Source organism: Homo sapiens, chromosome X (assembly GCF_000001405.40).
Source record: "Homo sapiens chromosome X, GRCh38.p14 Primary Assembly".
In the NCBI taxonomy this organism is placed as follows: Eukaryota; Metazoa; Chordata; class Mammalia; order Primates; family Hominidae; genus Homo; species Homo sapiens.
Window position 1 is genome coordinate 133,362,671 of NC_000023.11, and position 18,662 is coordinate 133,381,332.

General features: G+C 40.7%; 1 protein-coding gene across 1 annotated transcript in view, besides 1 other annotated feature; it reads right to left on the reverse strand.

Annotated features, from left to right (window-relative positions):
- GPC4 (glypican 4) overlaps positions 1–18,662 on the reverse strand; it is a 115,387-nt gene that overhangs the window by 62,568 nt on the left and 34,157 nt on the right. The window lies entirely within an intron of this gene.
- Positions 4,630–5,130: an enhancer, noted in NCBI's record as "H3K27ac hESC enhancer chrX:132501328-132501828 (GRCh37/hg19 assembly coordinates)". NCBI's record gives its function as "activates a minimal SCP1, AML or CMV promoter by ChIP-STARR-seq in primed H9 embryonic stem cells {active_cell/tissue: H9 hESC(primed)}" and the evidence as "EXISTENCE:reporter gene assay evidence [ECO:0000049][PMID:30033119]".

The following is an 18,662-nucleotide window of genomic DNA, read 5'->3' on the forward strand; positions in this document are numbered from 1 at the left end:
CCAGCATTTCTGGAAGGAACAAACATCCTCTGTCAGAGTTGTCCTGAAAACAGCCCTGTGTGATGGCTCACACAATCTTTATTTCATGAAAACCTACACAATGATGACTTTTCAGTGAAAGCTCGTAAACTACTTGTTTCCTCTCTGAGTGATGAATGAGTGCTGCTGTGGTCCTAGAAGAGGTTTCTGGGCTCCCTCAAGCTCCCATCCATTGCACAGCTGTCTCCCACTACAAAGAACAGGTAAATCCGGACAAAAAAGCCAGGCTGACGGTAGAATGGGGCAAAAGGGTGTTCCTTCTGGAAAAGCAAATGTCAGCTACGATTTGCTATTCTGACAGAGAGCTGGGAATGCCATGGCAGAGAGGCCAAGGAGTGTCTGGCTAAGCTGTAGTCAAAACCCTGCCTTGTTCAGTATTAGGAATTAACCACACATGCACATCCTCGCCCTGAGGAATGTTTATTTCTGTGTTTTAAAATCTTTTATTATTATCATTTTTTAGTTATTTTTAGTGCTTTTGTTTTCTTTTGTTTTGTTTTGTTTTTTGCAGGAATGAGGTCTCACTATGTTGCCCAGGCTGGTCTAGAATTCCTGGGCTCAAGTGATCCACCTGCCTCAGTCACCCTAAAGTGCTGGGATTACGGGCATGAACCACCACACCTGCCTGGCCTATTTCTGTTTTTAAACATACAGCTCTTTTTTCTCTTGTCCTTCCCCAAACACTCTCAATCATTTAATTATGAAAAGGATATACAGTTTTTCTCATTCCTCTCTTCCCAACATCTATCTACAAGGTTGCACAGTAGAAATGCATTTGATCAGGACGAGAACCCTGGTCTCCTGTGGTCCAGCTTTTGATTTTCTTTTTCCCCAACCCTCATCAGCTAGGCAAACCATGCTGTTAGCATTAGAGTACTACAAATCTGAAACTCAAGTGAATAATGTCCTGCTGGGCATGTTGCTTGCTCCCCTCTCCAGAAATTGCCCCCCCATCATGTTTTAAAATTTAATTCACATATTGTACAATACACTCATTTAAAGTGTACACTTCATTGAGTTTTAGTATATTCACAGGGCTGTGCAACCATCACCACTATCTAATCCCAGAACATTTCCATTACACCAAAAAGAAATCCTGTGCCTATCAGCAGTCACCCCTCCAACCCTTCCCCAACACACACACCAGCCCTGGGCAAGCATAATCTATTTTCTGTCTCTATGAATTTGCCTATTTTGTACATTTCACATAAAAAGATTCATGCATATTGTAATCTTTCTGAACTGGCTTTTTTCATAAAACATAGTGTTCCAAGGTTCATCCATGTTGTAGCATGTATCAGTACTTCATTCTTATTTATGGTTGTATAATATTCCATTTCATGGGTATGCCACATTTTGTTTATCTATTCAACAGTTGATATTGATATTTAGGTTGTTTCCACCTTTTGGCAACTGTGACTAATGCTGCTACCAACATGTCTATATTATTTGATTTTTATTCTGATGCTGTATATATTTGATATAGAAACCCTTTTAGAACACTAAAATCTCAAGAATTTCCAAAGTTAGAATGAGTCCCAACCCCCACCCCAGTATAGGGTTTCAATTCTCTTGGGTTTATACCTAGCAATGGAATTGCTTGGTCATACGGACCAAAAATTCTGTTACACTTTCTGAGGAAATGCCATTCACAGACATTCTGGAGTGAAGAATTCCATCTGGACTGGCCTCAAATTTAAGCTTAACACAAGTTATTGGTCTCCACAAGCTGATGTTTCATACTGCTCAGGCAACCAGAAACAACAATAGCATTTAAATTGGAAGTGATGACCAAAACAAAACAAAACAAACTCCAAAACAAGGGTTTTAATCCCTCAAATAAGAAAACACACTTAAATTTAGTCACTACTTCCTGTTTTCAACCTAAAATTTAGACAGGGCATTCTGAACTTCAATATACACACATAATTGTAAAAGTAGAATGAAATAGTAAATAAGAATCAGATAACCTTCTGTTTAATAACTTTCATGTGAATTACATCTTTCAGAAATGGTAAAGAGAACACATAATCAACTCTCAGGATCAGAACACAACAAATTATTCCAAAGATATCTAGACACGAATGCTGCTGAAAATCTAAGAATACTCACTGTTCCAAACACAGCTAAAAAACGTGCTTCCTAGTAGCTAAGAAATTTAAGACTGTTTCATTCTATATCAAGATGTTCTACTAATACAGCGAGTGCAAACATTATCAACTTATTTTAGAAGCCTGGCATGGGTGGGTAAAATGTCATTCTTGTCAAAAGATGGTGGGAGGCAGCAATTGGCCTTTCTGGGGGGAGTCACAGAGCTTGTTGATTTCTTTTCTCTCTGAAAATTCTTTTTATTCATTACTCAGGCTGCTGGGCAGAGCATTTTCCCTGATTACAGCTGTGGAATTTTAGCTCCAAAGCCAAGTAAGTTTTTTTTGTTAAAGCTTCTCAATTTTTTTTTCTTAATGTTTTATTTTATTGCAACTGCAGTTTTGGTGGCTGCCTGTAGACACACCCTGTGGTTTCCACCTAATTTTTAAAACTTCATCTTTTTATGACAATTTCATCAACCGTTCACCACTACAGTGTTTGCTTTGCCTCGACCTTCACCAACTTTCTTTTCTTTCTCTAGTCACTCAACCAACATTTATTGAGTAACTAGAATACATCAGGTACAGTGCAAAATGCTAAAGATAAAAATGAGCACATTCTCTGCCCTCAGGGAGCTCAGAGTCTAATGTGGATCATGCCATAAATCCACCTCTTCTCACTTCCATTTCCATTGCAGTTATGACAATATTTTGCCAAGCCCCCAAGTCAAAACTACCTATTTGAGAGGCTGCTGAGTTTCAGATCTGGGTCTCTTGAGCCTCCCTACCCTCAAGCAGACCCTCCAACGAACAGCTCTATCACACTCAAATTATTTGATTTTTAATCTGATGCTGGATGCAAACAATGATAGTAAAGATGCTTCAGAACACTAACATCTTAGGAATCTCTATTAAAGATATAAAAGTTAGAATGCATTTATTTTCAAAGATCTAAACCTGCAGACTGATTTCTCTTTAGTTTTTGGTAGAAGAGGAAATAAGCCTGTTAAAACCTACAAATATGCACTATTTTCTGCATTACACATCTTTCCTAAATAGTTACAGTTGTTTCACATACTTTTCTTTGCAAAAAGATGGAGCAACGTCCTATACTGGATGTTAGGTTACAGGGCACATTTTTTAGTCAGTAAGAACAGAAATGGCAGATGACTGGATAATGAAATGTTAATAAGCAATCCCTCAAGAGCTGGACAGAAAGGATATAACACTACAGCAGAACATTCATCAGCCTTCCAAGTGTTTACATGCTATGAGAGCAGCCTTCCCAAGTCCTTATCAGCTTCATGGATTTCAGAGGTCAAAAGTATGTAATGAAGGCATGAATCAGGTATGCACTGAGATGATTCAAGTGTAAAAGCATGTCAGATCATAATATCAAGTTCCAAGACCAAAGCTCCAAATGTTATTACATAATGGCACACACATGTTTTCAATGGTTCAGTTCTGTGATTCCCAGCCTATGGATCTTAGAGATATTTCCAAAAGTCTATGGATTTATAGTTCTGCCAAGTACCTTCTGCACACTGAATACTGTCTCACTTATAGAGCACACCACTGGTTTTCTCAGACTACAAAAGGTTGGGCTCCACTACAGCCAGCACTAAGCACTACAGTGCATGGGATCTTCAGAGAACAGAACACAGGCCAGCTTGTGAGACTCTGTGGGCAGAAAAAGTGGCAGGTAAACCTCAGTAAGCCAGTGCACTTAAGAAAAATTATCAAAATGATTTATAATAGGATGGTGAACAATTCCTTCTAGACTGTGGGCCTGGCCTCTTACTGCATCTGTGTGTGTAGCCAGGGTAGAAGTAAGTGATATTCGAAATGATGGCCCTGAGGTGCCACTGAGGCAGGAGAATAGGGTCTGGAGGCAGGGAACCTAAGGCCAATTCACGGTGAATTGAAAGGAAAACCCCAACTTTCCACACCTAAGTAACAAAAGGACCAGAGAGGCTACTCCCTTTGCAAACCCCCATCCCTTACAGAGTGGCAGATGGAAAATTGAAAGTACCTCTGATTGGTTGCTTTCCACAATCAATCAGATTGCAAGCCAAGTCTTCATTTGCATAGGAGTATAACCTTGTAACTTCACTTTAGCCTCTGATTGGTTGTATAGGGTGTAACCTTTGTAACTTCACTTCAGCCTCTGATTGCCAGCCACTACTTTATTTACATGGGGTGTACACCAAGTGGCCAGTAAGAAACCTCTAGGGGGTATCTGGACTCCAGAAGATTCTGTAACCAGGGCCCTTAAGCTGCTGCTCAGGTGGCTCCCACCCTGTGAAGTATACTTTAATTTTCAATAAATCTCTGCTTTCATTGCTTCTTTTATTCCTTGCTTTGCTGTGAGTTTTGTCCAATCCTTTGTTCAAAACGCCAAGAACTCAGACAACTTGCAGTCAATACCCTCCATTGGTAACACCATCAAAATCAGATTAAATTCTACTCTGTGTGATCCTTTTCAGACATTGGGGTATAGGGCTTTCTTGCCTCTTTGTAAAGTGCTCTTGCGATGTATATGTAACCTGCTTAGCCAGGAGATCGACTTGATGGTGTCTCCTTCCTCAACCTTAGGCTAAGTTATGTCTAGGAAAAAATGTAAAGTTCTCATAATGTTTTCTTCCTAAGCAAAACTATTTTAAATCATTTTTAATTAGCAAGTTCTTTCTGTGAATATACTGTTTCCTGTTCTTAGGGTGACCACAAATTATAGGCCAAACCAGGACACATGGGAGAGTGAAAGAAGGTGCCACTAACAATTATACTGAGGGCTGGGTGCGGTGGCTAATGCCTGTAATCCCAGCACTTTGGGAGGCCAAGGCGGGAGAATGCTTGAGCCCGGGAGTTTGAGACCAGCCTGGGCAACATAGCAAGGCCCAGTCTCTACAAAAAATTAAAAAATTACCTGGGCATAGTGGTGCCTGCCTGTAGTCCCAGCTACTTGGGAGGCTGAAGTGAGAGGATCACCTGAGCCCAGGAGGTTCAGGCTGCAGCGAGCCATGATTGTGCCACTGCACTCCGGGTAAGTTGACAAAGCCAGACCAGACTCTGTCTCCAAACAAGAACAATAACAACTATGCTAGGACAGCAGGTGTAAAGCTGAACTGTGCTAGGCGAAACTGGAACAATGAGCCCCTTTCCTTACCTATAATTTTTCAAGAAAAGTGGCAGGCACAGTGGCCCAGCACTTTGAGAGGCAGAGGCAGGAGGACTGCTTGAGGCCAGGAGTTTTAGGCTGCAGCAAGCTATGACAGTGCCACTGCACTCCAGCCTAGGTGACAAAGTGAGACCCCATCTCTTTTTTAAAAATGTAAAAAGAAAATTATCTATTTGCTGAGATTCTTTTGAATAAAATGACAAAAAACATGGCATACCTGTTAAACACCATGTTACCTATCTTCCAATTGTGAATCATCTTAAAACACTATTGGAGATTAACTGGATGTGTTGTTGTCTTCTTGGCAGCATATGAAGTTTTACTTTAATTTCAATTATGTGGATAGCCAACCTAGGCCCAAGACACCTTGGAGGCAGCAACACTTCATTTACACAGCTCTGCAGCACATTTCCCAGGACTCCAAACATCCACGGTGATTGTGGAATTCATTCTAGCCTCCGTATCCAACACTAAGGGAAGGTTTTCAATTCATAAAAGCACTGTTAATAAAATTTACCATTTTTCTATGTGTTTTGTGTTCTCATGACATATCATCTAAAAATTGTGTTGATTCACTTAGAACTTCACTTTTAAGGTTTTTTTAAGAGCATGGTAATTTTACCATCTAAGAATATAAAGAAAAATTACTTCAATATAACATTGAGTAACATTATTATTATTATTATTTTAGACAAAGTCTAGCTCTGTTGCCCAGGCTGGAGTGCAGTGGCGCAATCTTGGCTCACTGCAACCTCTGCCTACCGGGTTCAAGACATTCTCCTGCCTCAGCCTCCTGAGTAGCTGGGACTACAGGTGCCCGCCACCACACCCAGCTAATTTTTTGTATTTTTAGTAGAGACGAGGTTTCACCATGTTGGTCAGGCTGGTCTCAAACTCCTGACCTCAGGTGATCTGCCTGCCTTGGCCTCCCAACGTGCTGGGATTACAGACCTGAGCCACCACGCCCGACCGAGTAACATTATTTTTATACTTTGACATGGTTTCTTAATTTTGTTCGCATATCAAAGTCTAGGTACTACTTTAAACGTAAGAATCACAGCAGATATCATAAATTACAGTATCTTATGATATGCAAAATCAGGAAATTAATCTTAGTCTACTCACAATAATTTTATATAAAACTACCTCTTTTAATCCCCCCAGAGCAGGGCACACCATTAATTTAATCTTTGTTAGTGCTGTATGTTTGCTTTAAATCCTGTTACTGCATTCCTTCATGCAATCAAGTGCCCTTTAAAAACTAGTATATCAGTTACATTTGCCTCCTCTGAGAGAGGTTATGACCCTTTTATACCCTGTGGGGCTTTTGACCCTAGTTCCTGTTTTTCTTATATTTCTGTTAAGTTACAGTTCCCCCAGAACAATTGTCGCTCAAATGAGATAACTAGAGTCTGTCTTAAATGATATTGAACTTTTTCCCATTAGACAGTGTGAGTTAAGCAAAGAAACCTAATATAGTAGTACGATGCATTTGATAAAGAGTGACATGAAAACCTAGTCAAGAATGTCAAAATATTTTAAAAATACTTTGCTCACAATGTGAATTATAATGCAGCCATTTTGTACTACTCTCTCCTAAATGAATTTAAACTGAATTAAACACCGAAGTATTCACAAAGCTTTCTTTGCAGGATAATTATTTCTGCATATGATATGATTATTTAAGTGAGGATTCTTGAAAAGTAAGTAACTAGTTAGGGGTGCAGTACTGGGCATTTAATTATCCTAAGGGATTGTGAAAAGCAAGAGGTTGAGAATTGGAGTTTAAATAAATCATTTTCATCAGAAAATTGTTTAATGACCTATGAAATATTGAACCAAGGAATCTGGAGTTGAGTACTCACATACCAGCTGTGACTAATATTACTATTAACAACCCACCATTCAAGAGGCAGATCAAAATAATTAACACTCAACTTGATAAAAAAAAAGGTTAAATCACTCCCATATGATTGCTTTTAAAATAAGCATGTTACATCAACTAGTTGATTACTTCGTTAAAAATCAAAGTTGACAAGGTAGATGGAGTGGAGGTGGGAGGTCAGCTCTCTCAAGCCAGTACATATGAAAATAAAATTTCAAAGTCAAGTGTCTTCTTACCAAATGCTTTAAAACAAAAACAGAAGAGCACGCCTCAAAACCCACCCACATTGCTTCAAAAATAAGTTTTTGCCCTGAGAATAGAAGATATGCAATCTGAGGTTTTTGTTCACGTCAGAAGCAACAGCAGCAAAATCTGTCCCCAAAATTTTCTGGCAAAAAGTCAACAATCTGTTTTGTCTTTTACTGTTAACCCAAAACAAAACATGGCTGGAGGGAAGACAGAGGGGAGCCATTTTGCAAGAATTGGTTAAGACTTCCAAGGTTATTTCATTTGATGGAGAAAGACAATTTTCTAGAGAATGATTTGAAATAAAGAAGCAAATAACTATTGATGGAGCACAGGAAAACCTCATCATTTTGGCTAATCTGCATCAACTGATAATTCCTATACTTATAAAGTTCTTCAGGGTTTTTGTTTGTTTGTTTTTGAGATTGGAGCTTATTTTTTCATACCTTCACTGTTCCAATGGAACAGTTCCATCATCTCTACTTTTCAACCTGGATCACATTTCCAGGCTTACACAACAGATGCTTGAAATGCTCCAGTTGTAATAAGCCTTTATTCTCCTTGGATGTTCTTCAACCTCCAGAAGCCACTTACAGATTTAACTAATTTCCCTTCTAAGGATTGAATGACCACTAGCTCAATAACTATTTGAGGACCTAGTTCTACATTCAGAAAAAAATCCATAGAACTGCTAACCAAAAGAGATGTCCTTTTAAGACTGTAGCTCTTGGGGGTGGGGTGAGGGGAACTCAAAGCAAAAAGGAAGTTTCAATTACTCTGTGAAGTGAAGCAGAAAAATTAAGTGAGATCCAAGAAAACTTTATTAGCTATGACAAGCAATCCTTAATGCTTTTGTTTCATGAGTGCTCAGAAACCTTTGCTAAAATATTTGAAAACTCATCCAACTATGGCATCCCAACTTAGTTAATATGCGCGTCTCTGTGGGTGTGTATACACCCAGACACACACCCGTACACACACATACAATTAGTCTTAAAGCAAATTCCCATTCACTATGTTTTATGAGCACCATTAAGAAATGAAGAAAAGTCCTAAGACTCCTTCCTGTTCAAATATAAATGTAATTGGAAACTATGGCAAAGTTTTAAACTGTTAACTAAAAGTCTACTTTTATTCTTGACTTCTAGGGCTCAGACTAGCCTCAAAATCTCTTCCCAGAGTTTGCCATGACCAGTGGAACAAACAAGACAAAGTATAAAACTATAAATCGCTAAGAGGCAATTTGCTCTGTGTTATTTTCTTAAGGCAAATATGTAGTCCTTTGAATTCTGGTGTTCATTATTTTAAATTACTATCCATTTCAGAACTTAAAAACTCACATACACATATATTACTACAAACTCTTGCTTTACTCAAATCACTGTTGTCTTTTTGGAGAGATCAGCAGCCCCCCTGCCCTGATGCTAAAATATGCTCAGGTTTTGTAATCTAAACAAACTCATCAAATAAAAGCCTGCAGCCATCATTTCTAAATATAAATAAAGCCATCTTTATACACAAAATTTGTCCTTAATGGGTATAGCATTTCTTTGACAGAAAAAAAAATTGCTTGAGTTGATTTCTCTTTGTCCAAATTCGTTAATATAAATATAACAAACCTTAGGCCATTATACCACTTAAAATGTTTTTCATAGGGAGAGGCAATTAACTTATCCAACAGAAACTGAGGCCCCAAGATAAGCAATTTACTTCTCAGGACGTTCTAAGTCATTCTAAAATGGAGCCAAGGTCTGCAGGTGATTTCATTGAAATGAGTGCTGCTCCTATCCCAAACACAAGCCACTCCACCCAGACCCTGGGACAACAGCTTAAAAGAGGTATGGAAGGCCGGGCGCGGTGGCTCACATCTGTAATTCCAGCACTTTAGGAGGCCGAGGTGGGCAGATTACCTGAGGTCAGAAGTTTGAGACCAGCCTGGCCAACATGGTGAAACCACATCTCTACTAAAAATACAAAATTAGCTGGGTGTGGTGGCAGGCACTTGTAATCCCAGCTACTCAGGAGGCTGAGGATCGCTTGAACCTGAGAGGTGGAGGTTGCTGTGAGCCAAGATTGTGCCACTGCACTCCAGCCTGGGCGACACAGCGACTCCGTCTTTAAAAAAAAAAAAAAAAAAAAAAAAGAGGTTATAGGAAACCCCATTTTTTCTTTTAACTTTCCAAAGGTATTTCTGTTTTGCAAGGAGCCCCCAAGGATATCTGTATATGTATCCTTAGGGGCTCCTTACAAAACAGAAATATGTGTAGTAGGGAGAGTACTGGAGAGACAGTCATGCCAGCTCTGAAAAGAGAAGCCCTTTCAAAGTCCCTCCTTTTTCTTATCAATTCCTTTTCTACTCACCCACCACCATCTTTTAGAAAGGTCCATCTGCCTTGATAGTTGAAAGTAGAATGAAATGACAATTCTCCACTCCCCACCCTATGATTCAGAGGTTAAACTCAACTAATACCTCATAATTGCTGAACTGGAATTTTGCGAAGCCCTTTGATAAGGTCTCTGGTACAAATTAGGAGCATTTTAGGCTTCTGCTTAAGAGCATGCACGTGTCTTACAAAGTGCTGCACTTCCTGCTTATCACACTTTTTGAAAGTTGCTAGGATATTTTAGATAGTTAGCTTTGAAAGTTCAAAGTAATTTTCAATATTCTGCTCCTTAGTGTGTGGCTTTTAAAGTCCTATTGTTGGACAGCATGAAAGCCAAATGACCCTACAGGTTTCACTTTTGAGTTTTTGCTGATACCAGAGGGATGTGAACATATGCTGTGCCTTGAAATGCTCTGAATTCCTTGAGTATCTCCATTAACACTTTATTGACACCTTCTCAACTTCTATATCAGGCCCACTGTTATGGCAATTGGAGGGGTCTGAGATGGAATCTCTTTACTTCCACATATTTTTGGACTGACAATAGGAGTGTACTGGATTGCAAGTAAAAGCACTCCCTACCAGATGTTCATCCTCAGATGAAGAAGAAAGGAATTAAAGAGAATCAAAACAGCTACTTGGAGTACTGTTTTCTATAGCATTTTTAGAAAACAATAAATAAAAACATGTTCTCTAAACCTTCCATTTTCTTCCCTAAAACATAAAGCCTCATCTTGTTTTCTCCTGGATAGGAATCGAACATACAACACAAGAAACAGAAGGTAGGGAGAAATGCATCCATTTCTGCTACGTACACAAGATGGGATGCACCTAGAATTTATTCTGAGATCAGCTTTACTTGCTATTTTTAAAATGATTCTACAGTTGGGTTATTGAAGACACACACACACACACACACACAGAGCATAAATAAGCTCAATTAGTTCATAGTGACAGATGTGTCAAAAAGGTATGGTAATTCCATCTTAACAGTATTGCTTAAGTTCATTCATTCAGTGACACTGAGTGTCTATGTGGCAGGCAGGCAGGCATCAGGCTCAGCGCTGAGGTTACAAAATCCCAACCTCAAGGGAACTTCCAGTTCTTGGGGTTTCCCATCACCAGGGCTCAGGGGCAAAGGGTAGTTGATGATCTGCCAAAAACGGGGTTGTAGAAAGTCAGAGATCAGAAAGGCAATTCACTTCAAGGTTGTCCAAGGTCCCTTTCTGGAGTCTCTAGAATAGGAAAGGAGAGGTAAACTATCTCCAACTTTGACACTAAAGTAATTAGTGACATGTCAAATTAATGGAGGAAAATGAGCAAACATCAGGCAGGCCACTGTCAAGGTGAGCAAGTGAGTAGCCACATGACTCCTCTTATCACAGGGAAGTGATTGTAGACTGGGCCCTCAAAACATCACTCCATAGACAGAAAGCAGATTAATGGTTGCCTAGGGCAGAAAGAGAGGGAGGGAGATGAGGGGTGACTGCTAATGGTACACAGTTAATTTGGGGGGGTGATAAAAATGTTCTAAATAGACTGAGGTAATGGTTGCACAACTCCATGAATATACTAAAAACCACTGAATTGTACACTTTAATGAGGTGAGTTTTATAGTATATGAATTATATATCAGTAAAGCTGGGGGAAAGACACCAATCCATGATAGTGCTGAGCTGCAAGTGTTTGGCAACGTGGGGGAGAGTCTGAGAAAACCCATAGCCACCAAAGGGATGAAACAAGCCTGCTCTTTATACAAAAGAGTAATTTGCTTGTGCCTAGAGTGACATGTGCTATTCTCAAACTCATGAACACTATGAAGAAAAGTTTTAGAGAAGGGCAGCAAAAATTAAAGGAATAGGAAGGGAGAAGCCCAGTGGGAGGAACAGACTAAAGGTGGAAGGTAGGTAGGGAAAGAGAAAGGAAATGTGCAAAGTCACAAAGAGTAGGGCCAGGGTGAACCAAGAACTTCTTTAAGTAAGGAAACCTTTCAAAATTTAAAAGTGTTAAATCGCAGGAGTTGGGGGTGAAAGGGGCAAAAGCAACCTACAGTCTGTTATACATGTAGAGAGGAAACAAGACCTCGTGAGTTGATCTGACTGTATGACCTTGAGAAAAAATCAGTGACCCTTCTTGGGCTCCCACTTCCCAGTCTTCAAATACAATGTGATTCTTAATTATGCTCAGATCCTCTCTGATTAATCAAGTGGAGCCCTTAAAGAACCAGGAGCTCCTCATAGCAGGGCTATCATATTCTGCTCTGAGTCTACAATACAGAAATGTATTAAGAAAGTCATTTCACAGGTATGTGGATGGCATTTAAATGGATTTGTGTTTCACATGAGATATCCAAACGCTCCAATTATCCATAGGGTTTTAAGACCTTGGCAAAACTTTTGATGAACCTTGTTGGTTTAGGCTGGAAAAACTCCCCAGCAACCTTCAGGTTTGTTATGAAATTGTTGTACTCTATTATGAGACTGTATATTTTTTGCTGCCTGGTTGGCCAATATGGTCTAAAACAATATAAACACTTCCACTTCCACATACTGCACAATAAAGCATCTTCAAAGCTTCTGACCATTTCAGACCTCAATTTGTAAATATCATCTATCATGCATGACAAAGTATCTCACAGGATTAATACAATCATTGAAATTCTGCCAACATTTGCGTACTGTGGGATTACAGAAACTGAACTACGTACTCCTGGTATGTGTATATGTAGTAGTCTATAGCTTTTTGATCTGTTAATGTGTCCTCTGGGAAACAATGCTAATGGAGGCAGTTCAGAGTTAAGTCCTCCCCAAGTACCACAAGAAACATGGTAAAAAGATGTATAAAGGCATTTTTTTGTACATTTACACTAATGGGTAGCTTATGAAAAATGCAAACATCTACCTATCTACTGTAATACAATCAGATTTGCAAAAACAATTTGTTCATAATCATGAAATAAATACTATTTTTAAAAGGTAAAAACCATCAAAACTAAAAAGAAAAAATCCTTAATGGGAAAACCACTTTACAACTGAGGCAATTTCCATTTCTTAACAATATTAAACAAGCAAAACTGCAAGTAGTTACAAATTTTTGAAAACAAACCACTTGTACTTGGGAATACCATAGTCTCTGGCCATTTAGAAATCCAATTCTCATGCTCTGCTCAGAGGAGCCAAGCCTCCTCCTTTCTTTTTCTTTCCAGCCACTGAAAAGCATACTTTTTCTTTTTTTAAGAATGACAAATGCTAACCCAGGAAAGCATGTGGTGCCTCTAACTTGTGCAACTATTTAAAATGAGTATCCAAATTTGAACCTTACTTCATACTGTCCATTTCAACAGTCCTTAAAATATGTTACTGGTCCTGATACTGGTCTAATCCCTTCCATAGCAGCAGAATCACAAAAGTACACTAGGGGATTATGCAGTAGGGTTTGCAACAGTAAAAACTCGTTTAGGAAGGGAGAGAAGAATGTAACTTGAAATAAGACAGAGAGAAATGGGCCCTCTTCAAATTTCCCAGCACAGCTTTGAGAGCCGTCCTATAGCCAAGTCTCCCCAGGGTTCTCCTAATCCTCGGCAGCCACTGAAGACAGCCAGGATGAAACTTTTTTCTGAACAAAGAAAACTGAAAAGGGCCAAGTCTCAAAGTCACAGGCTCCCAGCTCGCCACTGGCTCAAAGCCAAGAAGAGCCCGTGTGCTCAGGCCAGCAGCCGTGCAGCTAATGGACAGACAGCAGGCTGAGAAGGGCACTGTGTATGTTGGGGAGGGAGGCACACAACCTACCCCGGGCTCTCCCCTGCCACCCAGGGCCACAGGGCTGCTCTCTCTGTCCCCCAGCCCTCACCAATGGCATTTTACACTCGCTTCCAGCAATTAAGTCCCCATATCTGACATCATTATCCCCTGGCATGTGTGCATGCATATGTGTGCTTGTGTGTGCATGTGTGCATATGCATCTTTGTCTGATATAAGCATTCCTACCTCCATGATGGAATCTAACACAAATATCCTTGCAGATATAAGACATTCATGTTGAGGGTTCTCTCAGTGTCAAGTAACTTAATGTGTTGGTAGCTCAGAGTTTTCCTAGCTATAAAACACAACCAGTTCATGCACTGCAGTGGTTTATTGAAAGGAGGCAATAAAAATGGCAGTAAAGCACTCTGCAACCATGACCTGGATTGCCTTGGCACTATACACACGGGGTCGACAGCCCCATCCCCTTGCACTTGTGAGCTGGTTCTCTGGAAGTGTTCTTCCATGCCTTCATGTGTTGGCTTTCGGGTTCTGTCTCCTGAAGGAACTGGGAAGGCTGGCTGTCTTTGCTTTTGTCTCTCCCCCACATGGGACATTGACAAGGAGGCACCGGGCAGATAGTCAATGTCTGTGGCCTGCAAACATGGACACAGACAACAGTGAGGACGCTTCTCCTGGAAGGCCTTCAACCTCAGAGCAACTGGACAAGCAGAACAGCTTGGTGTTTTGTTCTTCTTTTTCCACTCCTAGATCCATGGGTCAGACTCCTGCCTTCCCTACTGTCCCAGCTTTTTCCTTCATTTTCCTTGAAAAGGTGCTAGTTTCTTTACTAGCATAAGCACCTCCCTCTAGTTCCTCGAGACCCTCGGGATGGGAGGCATTAGGGAAAGAGAGAGGAAAACATATCCAAGGAAGCTAATCTACACCAGGGCTCTGCCAACTGTGGGATCATGACCTCCAAAGAACCTGGAGAGAATTTCAAGGGGGTCAGAGGCCCTGGAGCCCAGAGCCTAAGACCTCCCAACATCTGTTGTCAGTGAGGGTAGAGCAGCCTTTTTAATACAATTTCCTCACATGCAACAGCACCAGTTCTTTTTTCAGCCCTTAAGTGTACCCAACACCCACTCCCATATGACCTCATCTCCCAGTACTACCCAAATTATTGTCCCATTACATTGTCCTATAGTGCTCATTTCCCTTGGCAGCAGGGTTGAACAAAGAATTTAAATTTTAAGAGGAATGCTATGTGTTTCCAGTCTTTGCTGCCCTATCATGAACACCATCCATCAGTTGGAACTTCAAAAAAATATTTTATGATGCTTATATTAATAGTTAACAACATGCATTGAGCATTTGTTATGTGTCAGGCACCATGCCAAGCACTATATTATCTATATTAGCTCCTTTGATCTTCACAACTCAATGAGGTAGGTACAGAACTATTATCTTATCCTCCCCCCCTTTAAACATGAATCCTGGAACAGAGTCACTAAGGAACCTGTCCAAGTTCAGAGCTAATAAGTGGCAGTGAGGCTCTAGAGACTACACTTTAAAAAATTCTTTCATGAGATATAATTCACATACCATACAATTCATCTGTTTAAAGTATACCATACTTTTCTTTTTCTTTTTTTTTTTCTTTTTTTTTTTTTTTTTGCTTTTGATTCAGGCTCTCGCTCTGTCACCCTGGCTGGAGTGCAGTGGTGTGACCATGGCTCACCGCAGCTTTAACCTCCCGGGTTCACGCGACCCTCCGACCTCAGCTTCCAGAGTAGCTGGGACTACAGGTGTGCACCACCACACCCAGCTAATTTTTGTAGAGACAGGGTTTTGTCACATTGCCCATGCTGGTCTCAAACTCCTGGGCTCAAGTGATCTGCCCACCTTGGCCTCCCAAAATACTGGGATTACAGGCATGAGCCATCATGCCCAGCCCATGCAATGGTTTTTAGTGTATTCAAAGTTGAACCATCTCTTCAGCCATCACCACAAGCGTTAATAGAACATTTTTATTACACTAAAAAGAAATCCCGGGGGCCGGGCACGGTGGTTGATGCCTGTAATCCCAGCACTTTGAGAGGCCGAGGTGGGTGGATCACGAGGTCAGGAGATCAAGACCATCCTGGCTAACACGGTGAAACCCCATCTCTACTAAAAAAATACAAAAAAAACTAGCTGGGCGTGGTGGCGGGTGCCTGTAGTCCCAGCTACTCTACTCGGGAGGCTGAGGCAGGAGAATGGTGTGAACCCTGGAGGTGGAGCTTGCAGTGAGCAGAGATCACACCACTGCACTCCAGCCTGGGCGACAGTGCGAGACTCCATTTCAAAAAAAAAAAAGAAAAAAAAAAAAAAAGAAATCCCATAACTTAACCATCACTCCCTAAATTTTAGACAGCCACTGATCCTACTGCCTATGGATTTCCTTATGCTGGACATTTCAAAGAATTGGAATCATATAAAATGTGGTTCCAGAGCCCATACTCTTAACTATTACCTGACACAGAGGAAGAGGAGGTTGTCCACTGACAAATCTCTGACACATGTTCTTTCACCAAGCCAAAAAGCCCTATTACCAACACCATCCCCTCACAACATGAGACACCCTGCAGCATGCTTCTGTTGTTGGCTGGAGGTGTGGCTTGGCAGGCAATTGCTAGGGCCCTTGAGAAGTAATGAGGAGATGGCATGGCCTAAGAAAATGAGCACAGACTTTGGAGTCAGAAAGACGTGGGTTCACTTCATACACTGCTGGTGGGAATGTAAACTGTAGTTGCCACCATGGAAAATGCTTTGGCATTTCCTCAAAAGGTAAAACACAGAATTACCATATGGCCCAATAATTCCAATCTAAGAAAACTGAAAACAGGTGTTCACATACAAAGCTGTATACAAACATTCACAGCAGCACTATTCACCATAGCCAAAAGGCAGAAGCAACCTAAGCACCCATCAACTGATGAATGGATAATGAAATTATGGTGTGTCCATACAGTGCAATATTCTTCAGCCACCATGAAGGGAATAAAGTGCCAGTAGATTACGCTAAGTGAAAGAAACTAGACACAAAAGTCATATATTGTATGATTCCATTTATATGAAATGTCTAGAATGAGCAAATCCAGAGAGACTGAAAGCAGATTAGTGGTTGCCAGGGGCTGGGGGGAGGCAGGAATGAGAAGTGGTGTCTTAATGGGTACAGAATTTTACTTTTGAAGTCACGAAAATGTTCTAGAACTAGATAGTCTTAATGGTTGGATGACACTGTTTATATACTAAATGCCACTGATACTTTAAGTTGGTTGAAATGGTGAATTTTATGTTATGTGAGTTTCAACAAAAAAAATGAAATCGTTTAAAAATGAAAGATCTGGGTTCAAATCCATGCTGACTGATCCTGTGCAAGTGACTTAGAGAAGTCTTAGTTCCATTATATGGAAAGTGAGGGAGGGGTCATTTTACAGGGTTTTGTGAGGATTAAAGGAGATAACCCATAAAAATCACAATGCTGGCACATAGAAAGTGCTTAAGAAAGAGAAACAATTGGTCAGCCAAGAATAAAAACCACTGCCCTCGCTCTCTAGGCAAAAATACCATATGTTCTATTTTCCACCTCAAACAGTTACATCTCTGTAGACTACAGCAATCCTAAATAGCAAACAATAACAGAATAACATGAAAACTGGACTTCGTTGACCTGGAGACTGAGGAGTCCTGAATTTTCTTTACAAAAACTTCGAAAGTGCCAGATCCTAACTCCAAGGTCCCATTCCTAATCAAGCAGTGGAGTCTTATACATGTGATGTGGGCCGGGCGTGGTGGCTCACACCTGTAATCCCAGCACTTTGGGAGGCCAAGGTGGGAGGATCATTTGAGGCCAGGAGTTTGAGACCAGCCTGGCTAAGACGGCAAAACCCCATCTCTATTAAAGGTACAAATATTAGCCAAGCGTGGTGGTGGGTGCCTGTAATCCCAGCTACTCGGGAGGCTGAGGTGGGAGAATCACTTGAACCCAGGAGGCGGAGGTTGCAGTGAGCCGAGATCGCATCACTGCACTCCAGCCTGGGCGACAGATCAAGACTCTGTCTGCCCGCACCACCCCCACCCCCACCCCCCAAAAAAGTGATGCAGTTCCTGGATGGCAAGAAGTTGTAAGGCTAAGGATCTATCTCAGTCAATCTTTGGAAAACTCCAAAACTTTCCAAGAATAATATAGCCCCTCTGAATCCAAAGCGTCTTTAGTGAGGGAATTACAGGAAATGATATACATAGAGGAGAACAGTTTTAGTTTGAGAAGAATCCCTCCCGCCAAACTGAATATAAGGTATTTATTTCCTGGAACAGAAGGGCAGCATTTTGTTGTTGTTGTTGAAACACTTATCTATATACATTTATATGCAATGTGGATGTCTATTTTTGAAAATAAATTCCTTTCTAAGGTGTTGTTTTCCCTTGGTAAATGAGTCTTTAACACGACTGAAAGCTTCCCCAGCAAGAGATGGTTTCCATAATCCGTGAGAGGCAAATTGCACACAAAACAGATGTAGACACAACTGAATACAGTCCTGCTAAGATCCAATGCCAGAGATTAGAAAGAAGATGTGCTTCCAATATGCTTTTAATTACTTTATGAAGACAGTCCATTCGAGGGCTCAAATATGCAGTGAGCCCTAGTTAGACAAGCTCCAGATAATCCTTCTAGAGCTCAGCCCTGGCGGATGCCTCATCCACACCAGCAATTTTTAGTAAGCAATAGCTCTTACCAGCCCTGCACTCCTCCCTCAACATAGAACCAGAAGTCTACTCTTTGCATACTAACTGGCCCTCCTAAGCAGCACAAGAGGCACATGGTAGAAAAAATGGACAGGTGATAAAAGAACCGGGGTCAGTGGGCCCCAGATACCAACACTTCTGGGCAGCACATACAAAGGAGATCATACGTGAGCAGCTACTATGAGGATGAAAGGAACATATGCTCAAGAATGCAACAAAGGATATTAGTTACAGTCTATTATGCTATCACATTTATTTTGAAAATGTGAATTTGTTTCAATGCAATTGATATATTAAGGAAGAAGTTGAGCA